The 16,954-nt window shown below is 46.1% G+C and overlaps 1 protein-coding gene across 32 annotated transcripts in view, besides 2 other annotated features; it reads right to left on the bottom strand.

Moving 5' to 3' along the window:
• Positions 1–16,954, bottom strand: part of PPFIBP2 (PPFIB scaffold protein 2) — a 153,306-nt gene that overhangs the window by 26,121 nt on the left and 110,231 nt on the right. For 18 of the 32 annotated variants that reach the window (XM_047427751.1, XM_047427750.1, XM_005253177.4 and 15 more), the window contains 8 exons: positions 15,293–15,407; positions 12,838–12,899; positions 11,650–11,725; positions 10,156–10,259; positions 8,250–8,317; positions 6,632–6,689; positions 5,591–5,632; positions 1,314–1,452 (listed from right to left, as the gene is read on the bottom strand). In XM_047427751.1, coding sequence (XP_047283707.1) covers positions 1,314–1,452; positions 5,591–5,632; positions 6,632–6,689; positions 8,250–8,317; positions 10,156–10,259; positions 11,650–11,725; positions 12,838–12,899; positions 15,293–15,407 — 664 coding nt within the window. Of the gene's footprint in view, positions 1–118; positions 152–1,313; positions 1,453–5,590; positions 5,633–6,631; positions 6,690–8,249; positions 8,318–10,155; positions 10,260–11,649; positions 11,726–12,837; positions 12,900–15,292; positions 15,408–16,954 lie in introns of all 32 variants that reach the window. The other 14 variants (NR_147792.2, XM_011520415.4, XM_011520413.3 and 11 more) reach the window with 1 other exon arrangement.
• Positions 1,651–1,780: an enhancer, noted in NCBI's record as "active region_4375". NCBI's record gives its function as "activates an Ori minimal core promoter by ATAC-STARR-seq in GM12878 lymphoblastoid cells {active_cell/tissue: GM12878}" and the evidence as "EXISTENCE:reporter gene assay evidence [ECO:0000049][PMID:35858748]".
• Positions 9,244–10,443: an enhancer, noted in NCBI's record as "BRD4-independent group 4 enhancer chr11:7651972-7653171 (GRCh37/hg19 assembly coordinates)". NCBI's record gives its function as "activates an origin of replication core promoter dependent on BRD2, P300/CBP, MED14 and CDK7 cofactors, and independent of BRD4, by STARR-seq in HCT116 cells {active_cell/tissue: HCT116}" and the evidence as "EXISTENCE:reporter gene assay evidence [ECO:0000049][PMID:35650434]".

Below are 16,954 nucleotides of genomic sequence, written 5' to 3'. Positions count from 1 at the left end.
GGAGATGCAGGAACGCAGGCAGTAGTGGGTCCCTGGCTGAGTGCTGGTGAAGGGGAGGGTTAGGGTAGGGAAACAAAGGCATTCTCACTCTCCACCTCACCTGGAATGGGTACAGTACCTAATACGGGGGCACTGACACTCCGGCCACGATCTCCAGTGAACCAAGAAGCAGAGAAGCCACATGAAGAAACAAGAGAGGCCAAAGTCCAGCCCAACAGAGTTACGGGGAAGCAAAGAAATAAACAAAAGAGTGTCATCGAGCAAGAGAGAAAAACTCAAACAGAAAGAAAAATAATCCCATGGAGAAGGAGGGGGTGAGTGGTGACTGACACTGAGAAGAGGTTTCATGTGAGGGGACCAAGTGTTCCTGGGGCCCCTTTGTGACAGGCTGAGGTGTCCACACCCAGGGAAAGGAAGGGACAGCAGCAGGGGCTGAATACTCCAGGCCACAGGCAGCTCTTGTGCAGGTGCCTGGGCTCACTCAGCTCAGACTAGAACAATCTGAAGCCATAGTGAGTCCAGTTTGAGTGTCACTAGAACACACTCATTCAAGGGTTTATCTGAAGTTCCTGCAGCCAACGGCAGAGCTGGCCTTCACTAGGCCAATGCATGGGCCAGCTCAGGGAAGAGCTGAGGCTGAGGAGCCTCAGGAAGAACCCTGCCAGGACCAGAATGTTCCCTTCCGGGGCCATTGAATCTTTTGCTGCTGGTGGGGAAAGATGGCTTATTTTGAATGAAAAGCAGCAAAAGCCTCTGTGGTTTCAGGTCTTACGCACCGAAAGGATACCTGCAGACCGACACCCTTGCCCATTGGCCACTGACTTCATTTGCCTAAGGAAATGCTCCCACTTGGAGTGCATGATACCCTCCTACGGGGAATAGGGAAGCTGCAGAGAAGAAGGTGGAGACAGGAGAGAGAAGATCAGAATGACAGAGGAAGGAAGCACCAGGGGCAGGAAGGGTAGAAGGGGGTGTCTGAGAGGAGGGAAAACAATGCTAGGAAGGACAGGAAAGAGTTCGAGAGGAGGAAGAGAAGAAGAGAGGAAATAAGGGTGAAAAGCTGCAGCCGAAAAGAAGTAGGGGATACACACACCCTGGTTTGCTGAGACTGTAGAGTGCTGACCTTAGAAAACAGCTCGCCCAGGGGGAGCCTCTGGGGAGGTGGGACCACCCCAAGGTACAACTTGTTCCAGCCACCCACCCCACCATTCTCCAATTGTGGATTGTGGTGGTAGGTGCAGGGATCTTATACAATCATTGAAAGTGCCAAGGACACTGCTCAGAGGCCACCAGCACCAGGGCTGGACACTCACTCAGCCTCAGCAGGCTGCTCCCCGTGGCGTCAGGCTGGCAGATGGTGGGAGGAGATTTGGCAGCCTCTCCATTGGGCGTGGCTCCTGAAAGCTTCCCAGGTAAAGTGGGATATTTGTGCTCCGCCAAGAAAGGGCTGTCCTATTGGAAGGTGAGAGAAAGAGAGAGATACCGACTTAACTGTCAGCCTCAGTTAGGAAATCCTTGGATACAGAACAACTCCCTGTTTTGCAAGAGCCATTTTTCACATATGGTGACTTGAACACCCCTCAAAGATTATTTAGCTAGTCCGAGAAAGGGGACCAGAGTTCCAAGGAAGGAAGAAACTTTCCCAAGGCCACACAGTAAGACAGGGACAGAGTCAAGTGCAAATCTGGGGCTGACTGAAACTGACTCTAACAGGAAGTGAAGCTGTCTTGCAAAGCGGCCTTTGCTGTCTGGCCTAGTGCTCAGAGACTCAATGAATTAACAGCCGTGAATTACTCTGTAAGCTCTTTGGATATGAAAATTGGCATTCTAATAAAAGCTGCCTAGTGTTTTATCATACATACATACATATATATGTAAAATAACAATCCTGCAAGAGAGGAAACTGAGCTCAGTCTGGTCTGGGCTCCTCTGTTTCCCCCAGATTTGCTTTCCTGTGGTGAGGAGAGAGGTGCTTCTGCTAATTGGAACCCTTACTCAGACCAGAAAAGGGCAGATCTCTGTGAGGGCCTGACCAACTGCATAAATGATATGGATCTTGCCTGAGAGCGGCTATGGTACAGAAGGGAAATTATAGTTTAAATGTGGAGCAAAAGAAGAAAAAATCCCTATATTGTGATCATGGCTTCTTAAAAAACATCATGTTAAGGCAAGCATGAAGATACACACACACCCTTGGGGGAGCTGACAACAAGAAATGGGCCAGAGGACTACATGCCAACAAAGCTCCTTTGGGAACTTAGGATCATAGTCTGCACGAGGTAGAGCCTCAGTGCAGCCAGCTCCATGCTTGGACCCTGGCCATGGAAAGGTCCCAAAGAAACAAGTTGATTAAATGAGGAAGAAGATAGCACTTATTTGGTAAAGAGGCATACAATGGCCTCTCTTAATCTGCAAACCTGAGAGAAACACAGTGGAATGTGCTGTGAAAGTGAGAATAAAAGAAAAGAGAAATTGAAGCAATGTCACTAAAGGAATCAACTGTGGATCACCTGATTAGATCCTGAAGAAAGTAATATAAAAAACAAAACAGATTTCAAACTGGCAAGTCACAACAGTAATGGAAGGCTGCTGTGACTGAGACATCTTATGAAGTTCCATTTAGCTAAAGGCCAAATATCCAATATATTTCCAATTCAATTTGCTTATAAACATATGTCCTAGAAATTGTTTGAGATTCAGTTCATTCATTGAACATTGACTATTAACTCCCCATAAATAGTTCAGAAAGGAGAGATACAGTGAGAGGAAACTGAATTCTGAAAGAACTGGCTGGTGGAGTAGAAGTAACTAGAACCTTCAGAGAGGAAGGCTATGAGATTTTCAAGTTTGTGATGACCCATGAGGTGAAGATTAGACATGATCAGACATACGGTCAAGACCCACAGTTTCCAAGTGGTAGTTCATGTGCCGGCTGCTCTTCATAATTACCTGGAGCACTTGTAAAACAACATGAATTCCCAGTGCCCAGTCCCTGATTCAGTCCCTCTGGAAGCACACCCCAGATGTCTATATTTTTAACAAGGATCTCAGATTATCTCAGATTATACTAATGCAGTCAGACCCAGGAACCACTGACTGTGAGAAGGTAGTGTTCAAAGATGTTAGAGACCTGAAGGGCATGACTCCAAGCTCCCTATTATATACGACATATGGAGGGGGGAAGAGCTCTCAAAAACGTGTTTCTGGTTGCATCATCACGCATGCTCCCTCAAGGCAGGGCAGAGACAGCCAAGGAAGCAAGTGGGCCACCCGGGGAGCTCCCTGAGGAGCTGAGATGCAAGGAGAACACATACCTAACCCAAGGATGGGGTTTAAAAGGCAGCCCCGACCTGTAAGAAAGACAGCAAAAAGGAATCAAGGACAATGGAAAGGGCTCTCTGAGCTCTGCTCAGGCCAAGAATAAGGGCTGGGAAGAAATGACTCACTGATGTGGAAGGCAGTGCAATGTCAAGACGTGACGCAGAGGAAACAAGGATGCTCAACTCCAGTTCTGTTTCTCCTGTCTCCAAAAAGAACAATCCTCCTGGCTGTAGGGGAACAGAAGCCCCAGCCAAGGGAGTAGTGTAGAACTGATTATCCAGCTGCTTTAAATTACAACAGAGAAGCAGCATGCCAGAGTGGAAAGGGCCTAGGCTTTGAGTCAGACCAACTCAGACAGAGCTGTTTCTCTTCCACCTCTCAGGACCTCTGGTCATTTCTAAATGGAGAATAACAATTCCTACCTCAGGTTTGCCAGGAAATAACATATCCACAGGGCCTAGCACACAGCGGACAGTGGATAAGGAGAAGCACAGGAAATATCACATACCCAGGGCCTAAAGAAATAGCAATCTAGAAGAGGAGTCCTTAGACCACGGCAGGCACTGGTCAGACTACATCTAGAATATCACACTCCAAGTCTGGTCCAGGGCAGAACTTGAAGAATACATTGAGAAACTAGCGCTGAGCCTAAGAAGACTAAGTAGCAGCTTAAAAGGCTTGTGATCCATGCACATGAGAAGGTGATGTTCAGCCCAGAGAACAGAGCACTCAGAGAGGGCATGAGGGACTTAAATTCCAGAGCTGTCAGGAGTAGGGGAGATTGACTTTTTCCATGGGCTAGATGTGGAGGGAGAGGATCAGCAGATGCACATTTTAGAGAAGCTCACACAGCTGCAAAAGAATACAAAGGATGTCTTCCAATGAAATGAGCTCTCAGTCACAGAAAGCAAGAGCCAGTTTAAGCAAGGGCCAGACACTACAGTTAGGGATGCTGCAGAAAGATGACTGTGGAGCGGTTCTGCACCTGTGTAGCTATTCTGGGGAGGACGGTGGTGTATGTGGGTGAGAGGGGAGGGTGGTCATGTTGAATAACTGAGGTTGTATAAGATTGTGATTATGGCCAAAACCATGTAAGAATTAATCTTTTAATCTGGAGCATTTTTTTCTTTATAAATAGTTCTACGTTACTTATATTTCTTGGTAATCAAATTGGCGTCTTAAACCTTGAGCCTGTGAGCTGGGTGTGTTTCCAAAGGAGCAGGTGGTCACTTACAGGTGTGCTTTAGAAACACCTGCGAATGACCTCTGTGACGCTGAGGTGGGAGGGGGGACTGCTGAGCGATTTAACAGCTGACGCCATAGGAAGCCTTTCAGTTCACAAAGGGACCACACCAACCCCAGGCTCAAGGGACTGTGTTGCAGAGCACCTGGGCAGGGGAGCAGGCAGAAGACTTTTGCTATACAGTTCAGATGGCCCAAGGAATGGCTGCCCACTTGAAGAACCAACTGCTACAAATATGGAAGAGTAGAGAAGCCCCTTATATAGATGCAGACGTGCAGAAAAGATCTTTCTCTTACGCAGATGTGGAGGAGCAGAGATGCCCCATTTTACCGTGAAAATATAAAATGACCCTCTCAGGCAGAAGTCAGCAAGCAATGAGAAGCTCCATGTTTCATATGGACATGGAGGCAGGGGACAGAGAAGGGAAATGCCATCAGCCTCACAATACATTTTCCATATAATGTTATAAATGGTGGTTGGGTGTGGCTGAAATCATGCTAATTATATGAATCTTCATTTCTTTATGGGCTCAACATTTTGTGCACTGGCCTAAAAACTTAATCCTCTTCCACAACAGGCTTCCCTGGAGAAGATCAGTCCTAATGGAATTTTTATAACATAACTTGTTCATCAAAGCGGGACTGAGTGTACACTTGTGTTTTTTTAACCATGACATATCAGCACAGAAAGGATGAGAGCTGTCACGTTCTTCAGTGTGCTGAGATCGTAGCAATCCCCTTCCCAGTGATTAAATCTAGATTACTTTGTTAAAGATTAATTTCTCTGAGCCTATAAAATGGAGGTGATAATAATAAATCCTGTCCCACAGATAATGATAGCAAAAGCATATTAAATAGCTGAGTGCACATAAAAATAAAATGGGAGAGAAAAGTTGCGTCTTTCCTCTTGCCCTCTTACTCCTTACAGTTGGCACATTTTAAGGTTATGAAAACTATGACTTGCTAAATTAAAATACTAGCAAACAGTGTAACCACAAATAGACGACGGGGCACGAAGTCAATGTACCTTGGGTTCTAACACCGGGAAGGGCTGGTTCCCATCCATACACTATGGAGTAACATGAGGATTTCGTTTATGTGGAGAAAAAGAGACTTGTGTTATTCACAAACAGCAACAACTCAGGACTACCTGTTTGCTTAAATCTGAAAGGCGCATCCCCTCCCTCCACATCTTCATGTCAAGTAATCACCATCCAGGGCAGGAAAGATCCCTGTCCAACTCCATGGACAGATGTCCTGGGCAGCTGCCAGCAACATGACCATGGCAACCGAGAGACACGTGACCATGGGAGCAGAGCCACTGAATGATCCCAGGGCTCCTGCAGACTTCAGCCTTTATGGTTCTCCACTGTATCAACAAGGAGGCTGATGAACATTATTGGAGACCAAGGGATGGTATGCAGCACAGGCTCACTGAAGGGTCTCTATCAGGGCAGGCTCCCTTGGTCTCTAATGACCAAGCTCAAGAGCCTGCTACTGTCCCCTGCAGCATGAGGTCCACCCACATGATCAAGGGCTACTCCTATATAAGGAGCCACAAGACCCTCCTCCATCTTTCCAGACTCTTACAACAGCTCACTCTCCAACATCCTGACGATCCCACATCTTTCCTTGGGATCATCTCCTTTATTCACATTAATTCATCATTAAAAAAATCTATACGATGTCCCCAAGTGCCCCAGGGATATAGGACTAGTAGTCAAGATCTTCCCTGGCTTGATCTGTCTCATGGCTCTGACCTTACCTCCTCCTACTCTCCACCATCTTCCAAAACCTGCTATTGCTCAGCAGACTCTAACCAAGCTTTGCTGATCTCAACATCTTCTCTCATCAACTCCAGGCAACATTTCCTGAATTGTCCTTCCTCTAAGATGCTTTGGGCCACACCCAGTTAATTTTCTCAAAATGTTCATGTAATTCCTGCTTCCTCTACAACTTTATAAAATCCTCTACAAGGTAGGGACCAGGACCTGCCTGTATATCCCAGTACTATGCTAGGCCCAAAAAAGTAACTCAGTCATCTTTAAGGATAGGTTGATGAGCCGACCTTATCCACAGATTCACTTCTCAAGTCTTCTAGACTACAAGAGAGCTTTTTCTGAGCCCTGAAAAAAACACAAAAGAAAGAAATAGTTATGAGAAGGAGGTACATGTTATCACTCATGCAGAGGACATTTCAAATGCTTAACCGATGGTCTTGGGCTTAGGTTCAAAGTCAAGAAAAAAAAATACCCTCTCATAATAGCCTTTACATACAAAATGAGACTGGCCCACCTTGGGGGACAGACTGGTCCAATAATGTGTTAGTAAGGGCATGACAGGGTCACTTAAATCCAAATGAAATGTTCTTGGCATTGCACAAAAAGCCAGAATACACTCAATTCTGCTGCACTGAGGTGACAATTGTGCGGTCATAAAAGGCCAAGGTCTACAGTGTCAAAAGAGGGGAAAGGTGCTGATGCTGGGCTTGTCTGAGTCTAAGAGTAATCCAGGGAGGAGGGACCTGGGCCTCCTTAGAGTAGAGATGAACACATTAACCAGCCATGGCTCCAGAACATCACTTGCTAGGACCCTGCCACACTCTGCTCTGGATCTGCATGCCCATCTAGTCTGCTCAGACTCATCTGGCTCTCTCAGGGTCTATTTTGCAGAGAAAGGCACCAAATGTGTCAAGAGGCAATGCCACCAGTGGTCACAAGGGTAACCTGTGCCAAGTCTCCTTGGCAGTCATATTTCTCAGATTATACGAGTAAGTCATCATTTTAAAAAATATTAGTCTCTTGTAAATCTGGTCAGTCCGAGTTCCTTGGTGTTGACCTTTCCCTCAGTGAACTCATAAACCACAATTCTTATTCTCCAAAACTAAGGACTGCCTGATCAACTTCTCTAACATTACCATTTTCCTCTGGGCTAAAGGCTCAAGGGAACAACTGCTTTCTGGAAAGTGGACTCAGAGTGCAGGCTCTGGAGACTCAGCACCATTCTGGGGAGTTTCTGTGATGCTTGTGGTCATCTGCCCCAACACCTTAGCTGAAAGGCAGCCTGGTAGTGGTTGCCAGTACCTTGGTAGTGAAGCCTCCATGTCTCCCTTACATGGGGCTCAATTTCAAAATGTGTGCTGAAGTACGGACATAGGGAACTAGATTTAGGTTTATTTTAGAGGGAACAAGACAGATGGCAGTCAAATGACCTCAGAGGCGAGCCCATTATTAGTTCATTGTTGTGAAGCATCCTTAAAGCAATTAGACCAATTGCTATGAGAAGACATGGCCTTCCCTAGAAAGCTTCGACTGTCAAAGGGCTAAATTCACTCTAAGAGCAGGAGGCAGAGGCTGACAAAAGGAACACACATCACGGGATGCTCTCAGCTCTGAGGAGCTGCTATAAGACACAGATGAGTTGCAGCCACCTCTCCTCTGAGGCTCTAATCCTTGGCCAGATCCTTTCTCAGTGACAATGATCCACACCCTCAGCCTGAAGGATGAGAAGCCCTTCTGTGGCCAAAAGAGGTAGGCCTGGTTTGTAACTGCCCTAACAACAGAGGGGCAGGTGCACCTAGGACTCAGTGGCCATGCTCACCATTCACGGTCATCACCATCTACTTCGGCAGCCCCAAGGCAAGCCTGAGAGCACAGTGGCTGTGGGGAAATGCCCAGGCCTCTTACCTGGTTTCCAGTGATTTCTGTGGCAATGGAGGTGGCCCCACTGTAGGAGAGCTACATCTTGGAGGCATCTGCACCAGAGACAGAAGAGTCACGGTAGAGGACAGTCTGTTTGGGGACCACCCACCATCTTTCCCCCTGCTTCACATGATTCCTTTTAGGGAGACATTTCCTCCCTGGGTGCAGCCATGGTGGATACATCATTATAGATGCCTTGCTCTTTCAAGATGCAAGGGGGTGTGGTAGGCTTATCAGTCCATCTGGGCCAGCTTGCCTCTCCTTCCTGGACCCTAGAGCTTAGATCATGTTCATATCCCAGTAGTACAGTCCTGAGACCTGGGTTCTTGGGCTTTTTCTGCTCCTTCCCTTTCTGATCTTGGTTCTTCAGCTTTTCCTTTCATTCAGCGAGCCACTGCAGACTCTTTTAAAAACATTCTTTTTGGCTTAGGTTAGCCAGAGCCAAATTTTGTTGCTTTCAATGAGAAAATCCCATTTGATATGGTCACCCGACAAACATCAGCAACATCTACTCCCTGCCAGGCCCTGTGCCAGGTCTGGAGCAAGCACTCCCCACATCTGGGAGACAGACAAGTACACTAGGATAACAGAATAATGTGCAATGCTCTTATGGCTCCAACACCTGTAACACAATATGGGAACAGTGGGAGAGAGGGGCTCCCTCTCACCAGAGGGAAGGCTGAGAAAGCTTTAGAGAGGAGAAAAGCTGAGCTGAATTTTGAGAAATGAGAACTGGTTAAGGCAAGAAAGGAAAGAACATTACAGGGGGAAAGACCATGAGCTAATGATGGTATGAAATAATACAGTCCCGTGTCTTCAGTATTGTACCTACCACAACACTGTGCCTTCAGCAGTGCACCTAGCATCACAGGCGGAGCCACCTTGAGCTAATGGAGGTTATGAAAGAAGACAGTCCCATGTCTCCAGTACTGCCTCTTTTCTCTAGATCCTAGCATCCTCTTGGTCTACTATAACAACAACGCTGGCATTATAGTATAGTTTTAAATACCTGGGCATTGTGGTCAGACCTGGGTTCAAGTCCATATTCTGCCAGATACAATGTTCATCACAGTGACCACGTGGAGGTATCCAGTAAGACTTGGTAAGACTTGGACACCGCTATTCTGTAATTGCCAGCAATCTGGGGTGCTTGTTCTGAGTCAATAACTGGCTCACTGGATGATGCTTTTGCTCCTTAATTAAAAAGGTTGAACTGAAGCACTAAGATTCTTTTCAATTTGATAGTGTGACGTTTTCAGGAATCTTTTGGACCCTAGGCTGAAGCCCCTCCTTCACCTGAGGTCTTGTTTATTTGTTTATTTGTATCTAGCTTAAGTCTAGAGAGATTCATACAATAGGACCAGATTTTAAACAAACGAAATAGATGAGAAGGAAAATCTGTGTCCTGGCTATAGGGGCTGAAGGGCGTATCTGTCAAGCAGGAATGCGGCATTTCAGAGGTTGCAGTTAATTCCTCTAAATGAGCAAGACATGTTCGTTCATTCAACAAATATTTGTTGAATTCTACTGGGTATCGGGCATTACTGCAGACCTTGGAGAAAGGGTGGTAGATAAATCAAACATCACCTTTGGTCTATGCTTACATTCCAGAGAAAAAAAAGATAAAAATAAACTAGGAGCCTGATTAAAAAGGAGAACTCCTATCCTTGAAAGTTCCAGTATCCACCATGCTGCCTCCAACCAGAGCACAGGCCAGAGCCTCAGCCTCTTGCTCGCCCATCCCCATCACAGCCTGAGGGGCACTATATTAATTTAAGTATTCACCTGCCAAGATGTGCACCTGACACGTGTCTGACTAGATCCTCCCTCAAGCTCAGGGCAAGCTCGGAGGACCTGCTGAAACCCTACGTCATGGATGGAAACACAGTACCTCTTGTTTAAATAATTCTTCAGGGTCCTTATTTGTAGCGTTCCACTTGCTGAAACCTCCCTCCGGTTCTTCTTCATTGATTGAGAGAGTTCTCTCCGAAGGCCCTGCAAGCATTAAGGTAGTAAGACTGAATTGTTGAATTCATGTTCAGAAACCTATAATCGTACCACAAAATTCTAACATTGTTTCTCCTTCATTAAGAAGGACTAAGAAATATATAAAGGGACAGTAAGAGTGTGATTCTGAAGATTCTTCAGGGCATCTGAGCAAGGGCTGGCATCAGGATCATTTCAAGGTCAAAGTTTATCTGCAGAACAGAGGTAATGTACCCCTGCCTCCAAACCTCTCACTCCTTAGCTATAGGCAATCAAGGCCCTGAGAGTGACTTGACCCATGATCTTAAAAAGATGGCTGTGAGGCCAGGTGCTTTGGCTCACGCCTGTAATCTCAGCACTTTGGGAGGCTGAGGCAGGCGGATCACTTAAGGTCAGGAGTTCGAGTCTAGCCTGGTCAACATGTTGAAACCCCATCTCCACTAAAAATACAAAAATTAGCCAGGTATAGTGGCCAGTGCCTGTAATCCCGGCTACTCAGGAGGCTGAGGCACAAGAATTGCTTAAACTTGGGAGGCAGAGGTTACGGTGAGCTGAGATTGTGCCACTGCACTCCAACCTGGGTGACAGAGTAACACTCCATCTCAAAAAGAGAAAAAAAAGAGGGCTGTGTGTGAGGGCTGGCAGAGGCCCTGGCCAGTGACCAGTCAGTCACATCCTGGCAGAGGCTTGGCTTCTTCCCAAGAAGCAGCAGAAGCTCAGCCAGAATCAGAGGTTCCTGAATATCCTTCAAAGCAGCCCTGTGCTGTGAAACAGCTGCTTCCTCAGGATCTATGATGGGAGCCCAGGTCAATGGCATGAACAATGAAGGCAGCCCGGCACATGCACCACTATGCCCATAAGAACCCTGATGCTGCTTGCATGTTGCATTCAGTCTGGGCAGCAAATATAAAACACAGCAGCTCTCTCTGTCCTGTGACTTCCTATAGCAACTCAGGCCCAGCAACTCGAGGAAGGCTCCCAGAGGGCCCTCTGAGTCTGCTGCGGAACTTTAGATTTTCTAGGAGGTGGATGAGCTCTAATCCCCAATGATGGCACTGAGTTGATTTTTGATCCAGGTTTAACTGCACTTGCTGCCTCTAAGGCGTGTCCTGGGAAGATGCATAAGAGACCTTCCAAGGGTGGGGAATTCACAAGCTTTATATTCTTGGTGATCTGGATAGTCCCTGAAGGCCCTAAGCTGACTTCCATTTGGTAGTATTTCTGGAAATCAACAACTGCTAAGTTCTCATCATGCAGAAAAGTCTAAACAGCTCTGTTCTCCAGTAGGGAGTCTTCTCTGAAACAGAGGTGAAACAGCTGCTAGCAGAACTGCCCCTGGCTTTAACACAGCTGATGGAATATCTTTCAGAGACAACGGTAGGATCGCCCTTGCTCTTACCTTGAGTGACCATCACAATCTCCTTTACCTTCCGGTACTGGTTTAACAGCCCCGTAAGCTCCTCTATCCGACGGTCCTGCCATAGTGCAAGTAGAGATTTAGATTAATGCTATGCTGGCATCTCAGATGATTTCATTTTGGAACCCACGCTATGTTCTTGGCACAAGGAGAAGAAATCCCACGTGGAACCAAAGGAAAAGAGTGTCCAGGCCCCATTCCACAGAGCTGGGATTTCAGTGGTCTGCCTCATAGGCATCTGCAGGCATTCACGCTCTACCTGAAGACTGTGAGTCATCTGAGACACCCTTCACAGGGCTTAAACATTTTCAGAAGCACGAAACTCACTGTCTCCCTACCTTCCTGAAGTGGCCATTGAAATCTGCCTTCTGGTCCTAGTGTTGCCCTCTGGAGCGACACAAAAAAAGACTAAAATAAAGCTGTCATATTTATCTCAATATACTCATTTGTTCCCTAGGAGTCTGAGATACCTCATACTACAGAGGAAATTCCCAGAGAAGATCGTTTCTTTCAAGGCAAAGGCCTTGAAAGGAACTTGGGAGACCACACAGGTCATAGACAAACTTGGGTGTGAAAGCTGGCTGTGCTATTTACTAGTTACCTGACCTTGGGCCAAATTACTTAAGCACTCTGAGTCTGTTTCCTCATCTGTAAAATGCAGGGTTGTGATCCTCAGAGATGATGTTTATACCAGCCAGGCACTCTTTATTTATAGAGGTGGCTATTTATGACTGTGCCGAAATTAGATGCGAAGGATATAAGATGGCAGGGTAAACTGAGGCACTGCATACTGCCAAGTGTCTCTATGATGGTTCTATTGTCAGGTCATGCACATGGGAGACTGGTGGGCTGTTGTGCTAGGAGTTCCAGCAGGAGCTATGATATTGGCAGTGATCACAGCAGTATTTTTTTCCCCCCACACCAGCAGGAACAGGCAGGGCTATAATCTGCCTTTAGGAGATTCCATTTAGACAAACTTTCCAGTTATCAAAGCCAAAAACAGGTGGCTGAGGCCAAGTCTCTAGAAGGCACAAGTCATTCTCCTGACATATCCCTATGTCAATGGCATGATAAGCATGGTCCTGTCCAGAATATCAGAGACCAGCAGGGACCAAACACAGCCAGGGATGTAAGCATGGAAAAGACAGGGCTACCCAATGACCATCTTACCTTATCTTCATTGGCAAGCAGCAAAGTTTCCATCCCCATTTTCAGACGTTGAATTTCTTGGTCTAAAAGAATTCAGGTATAGAAATAATTATTTATATAAATACAGACAGCTATCCGCACTTGCTATGATGTCCCCCAAGTTCAAATGAAGACTTGCCATGTGAACATGGCTCCTTTAGTTCTTTAAAGAGGCCGGGATGGTGTCTGCTACAGAATCGGCCTCCTTAAATATTTGCTAGACTACTAAATGAAGGAAGCTAGTACTCTGTCTTCTCTTTATAGACATTTATGGGCAAAATCAAAATGCCCATGTACTCGAGAGGACAGAGGAAGCCAAAAATCTTTCAAAACCAACATCTCCTAAGAATATAGACATTTTTATCCTTTACAACTTGAGTAGGCATGCACCTGGGCTTCTGACTGGCTTTGAAGAAAATCATACAGTCTGACAAATTGTAGGAAGAGGAGAATTTAACATTTAAAAAAATCTACAGTTGAGTGAAGACTGGGAAATAAAAATTATGTAAAAGAGTTGGTACTTGGCTTAATTTAAAATGATATAGTCAAAATTGACTAACAAATGTTTAGATGTATTGGGATATATACATATATGCAAATGCTGGGTTGAGGATAAACAATCTTATTTCATCATAAACCAGAATTTCCCTATGGGCTGAGAAATCTCTGTTGGTCTGTGGTGGAAAATCCAAGGCCTTCTCTCAGTTTGGACCCAAGAGGGACTCTGTTGATTCCTTAACTGTTTTGAAGAGCCTAAGGAAGCTGGAGGTCATTTGCCAGATACTCTAGGAATTGGCACATAGCTAGATTGTTCAAAGAAGGATCTATGCCTCTTCCTAAATGGGAATAGGGATGTCTATATAAAAAAAAAAAAGTACAAGGGAACAAATATATAGGCCTCCCATTTTCTTTTGGGATGCTTGTTGTATCTAACAAGAATAGCAACAGTAGATCTATGGACTTTGTGTAAATAGTTGTGGAGATTCATTTTCAGAATAAAGTGGAGAATTGCTTGCTCATTATTTAGGCTCTAGGTAGCTAACATCAGCTCTGCAGCTCACTTTGCTGGGGAGGGCAGTAAGCTCTAGATGAAGACTGCCAACCCTGATCCACTGGTCAGAACCTACCTTCGGCAGCAAATGACCCAAGGACCAGCTCTAGAAAGTACCCAGTAATGGAGTGGGGTAGGGCCTGGGAGGCTTAGACTGTGGGAAGAGGAGGGGTAGACTGGGAAGGCTGCCTGGCCTAGAAGTTGTGGCATGGGGCACTCTCTGTCCAGGCTTAGCATCAGAGATAGTCCAGGGTGTCTTAGTAGAACCCAGCCTCTACAAGCAGGCCTTGGCAGGTAGGCAACACACCCAGTGGCTTGGGCGGACACTGAGAAAAGCTCGGAGAGGGACGAGCACATTGATCACTAATTTCCTTCTCCAGCCTAAGCCATTGTTGCATGGCTTCCACACCCCAGCTGGGGATCCAAGCTAAGCTTGCAGTGCTGAGGCCAGGATGTGACTAGGTAGTGGCACCAATCCGTAGGACTATATGATCTTCGGCATTGCTCTGCAGCCTGGTAGTCAGTGGACAAGTTGAAAGGTGTATGATCACTTTGTATACATGGCAAACAGCCATAAAGATTTATGTGTTCATTACAGTAGTTGAGGATTTATCCTCTATTTTTGATCAGCAAGACTTGAACTCCTCAGGGACCATTCACCATCCTTTCACTTATTCAAGAAGTATTTCTTAGGATCCTACAATGGGCCAAATATTGTGCTGGGCTTTGTAGATATGCTCTTAAACAAGAAAAATATAGTCCTTACCCCTGAGTGGGGATAACACACAACACTGGTAAGTTATAATAAGTGCTAGGCAGGAAAAAGGAAGGATGATGAATTAGAGAATAATAGGACTGGGAGCACCTATTTGAGTTAGGGTGGCCAAGAAAGGTCTTTCTGAGAAGTAAGATTTGAAATCTCAAGAATGAAAAAGAACTGACTTGTTTCTGTAGTCTCAGGGCCTTATACAGGCATCAGGCAGGTATCCATGAAATGACTGAGTAAATTTCTAAAGCCTCCCCTTTGGTGATGACACAAAAGTAAGGCCTTTCAGTCAAATGAAAGAGTTAGGTATTTCCTACATTTTCAGTAAAAGCTCCAGAGGTGGCTGCACAGAACTTCTGTGCATCTGAGAAAAACCTTCTAGTTAGGGGAGGGTTCCATGGGAATGATTCCACAAGAGCGCTGCATTATAGGGACACACACAAACACACAAACTGGTGCATCCATTCACTTGGCCACGCTTGCACACATACATGCATGTCCATTAGCATGGCTACACACACAAGCACATATGCACACTCATTTATAGAAACACATGCTCACTTATAAGAGTAGACCCAGGGACCCAGACAACTGCATTTTGTCAGAGTCAAGCTAGTCACCTCTCTCTGTGTGACTCTCACTGTGGAGAGCTGCTGTCCGGGAGAGCTGGCTGTGCAGACGCTCAATTTCTGCATCTTTCAGGGCCACCTGTTCTTGCAGCTGGGCGACTTCAGCCTGGAAGAGCAACAGAGGATCCCTACCAGGTCAGAAGGACTGCCAAATCATGATGAAGTGCCTCCCGTCAGAGTCCAGACCCCATCAGGCACCAGGGTGCATCAGGAGTTAGGAGAAGAGGTGAGCAGGAGCAGGGGCTCACTGCCCTCTCCACAGGTGGAACTCTGCTGAGTGAACTCACTCTTCTAGGCCATCCTGGCCCTCCCCACGGCTCTGGCCATCAATGTGCTTCTTCCCCTGCATCTTCCTACCTGACCAGTTTCTCTCCCCTGCACTGTGAGGATTAGGATTGTGATGAGGAGCTGGGATTGTGTGCAATGGGAGGGCTGTCCTTGGTGCAGAGGAGGATATTCTGGACATGGTCTTTCTTCTCCCAAGATACTCACTCATACAGTAACATTTAGAGACACCACTATAACAAGTGCATGCAGTTTTCATCTTTCCAACCCACAGAGAAAATGCAGCGGAAGCCAAATCACCACTGCTGAAGAAAAGGTAAGCCAAGGGCTCCCTCCCTCCACACGCTCCTACCCTTTGGGTACAGTCACTGCCTCTGCCCAACCTCCAGGCATGTGTGCACGCTCACTCATATACAGATGTACAAGCATTCAGGAGTGCTTCATTTACATACTTTTGCAAAAAAAAACATTGTATACACAGCTCATAAGTACACACATACATTCATATTTGCACACAAACAGGCAGCTGCACTAGATGGTTCCCATGTCGCCATTAAGTAGTGCAGGTTAAATCCACACACAACACTAGGTGTGGTTGTTCATGCTTTCCCATACTCATCAGGAGATCAGAATTGTATAGGTCCTGTCCGAAGAGGTACCTGGATTTTGGAGTCAAACAAACCTTGATTCTCTCATTTCCTAGTTGGGTGACCTTGAGCAAGTAAGTTAACCTTTCTGAGTCTCAGCTCATCTATAAAATGGGAAAAACTACACCTACTTCATGGGACTGCAATTAGGTTTAAGATAATGGTTATCAACAACCTAGTCCAATATTTAGTATATACTAAGTGCTCAATAAATGCTACTGCTATTTGCTCCTCTCATCCTATTCTTTTCTTTGTGGATAATCGGTTCAATTCTCTCAGCATCAAACCAGGTAAGAAAAGGGATGAGCATCGACCGTGGAGCCGGTCAATAAAAGACAGCAAAGGCTTCTCCTCTGGCCACCCCTTCCCCATGTGTTGGCCCAATCATGTCCCACTTTGGTCCTCAAGGTTATAGTATGGGCTGTTCAATTCCACAAAGGCCCAAGTTAATATCTGACCAACCCCAAGTAATTAAATGAGTACTGGCCCTGTTGGCAACTCTGTTGCTGGACAGGCCTTGTGTTCAGTTTCAGCGCATGGACTGAGCACGCACCCTGATCAGCCCCCGTGCTCACTGCTTTCTTACATCAAATCCTCACAAGCAACCACCCGAGGAAACAATATCTCCGTAAGTCATCAGGGAGAAAACGGGAGTAGTACAAGATTCTGTGTCAGTCACAGAGCTACTTGGTGACCAGGCCAGGATGCAAACCCTGGCCTG

This window comes from Homo sapiens, chromosome 11 (assembly GCF_000001405.40).
Source record: "Homo sapiens chromosome 11, GRCh38.p14 Primary Assembly".
NCBI lineage: Eukaryota > Metazoa > Chordata > Mammalia > Primates > Hominidae > Homo > Homo sapiens.
Note: the sequence above shows the minus strand (reverse complement) of the source record. Positions and strands in the feature narration are given on the sequence as shown.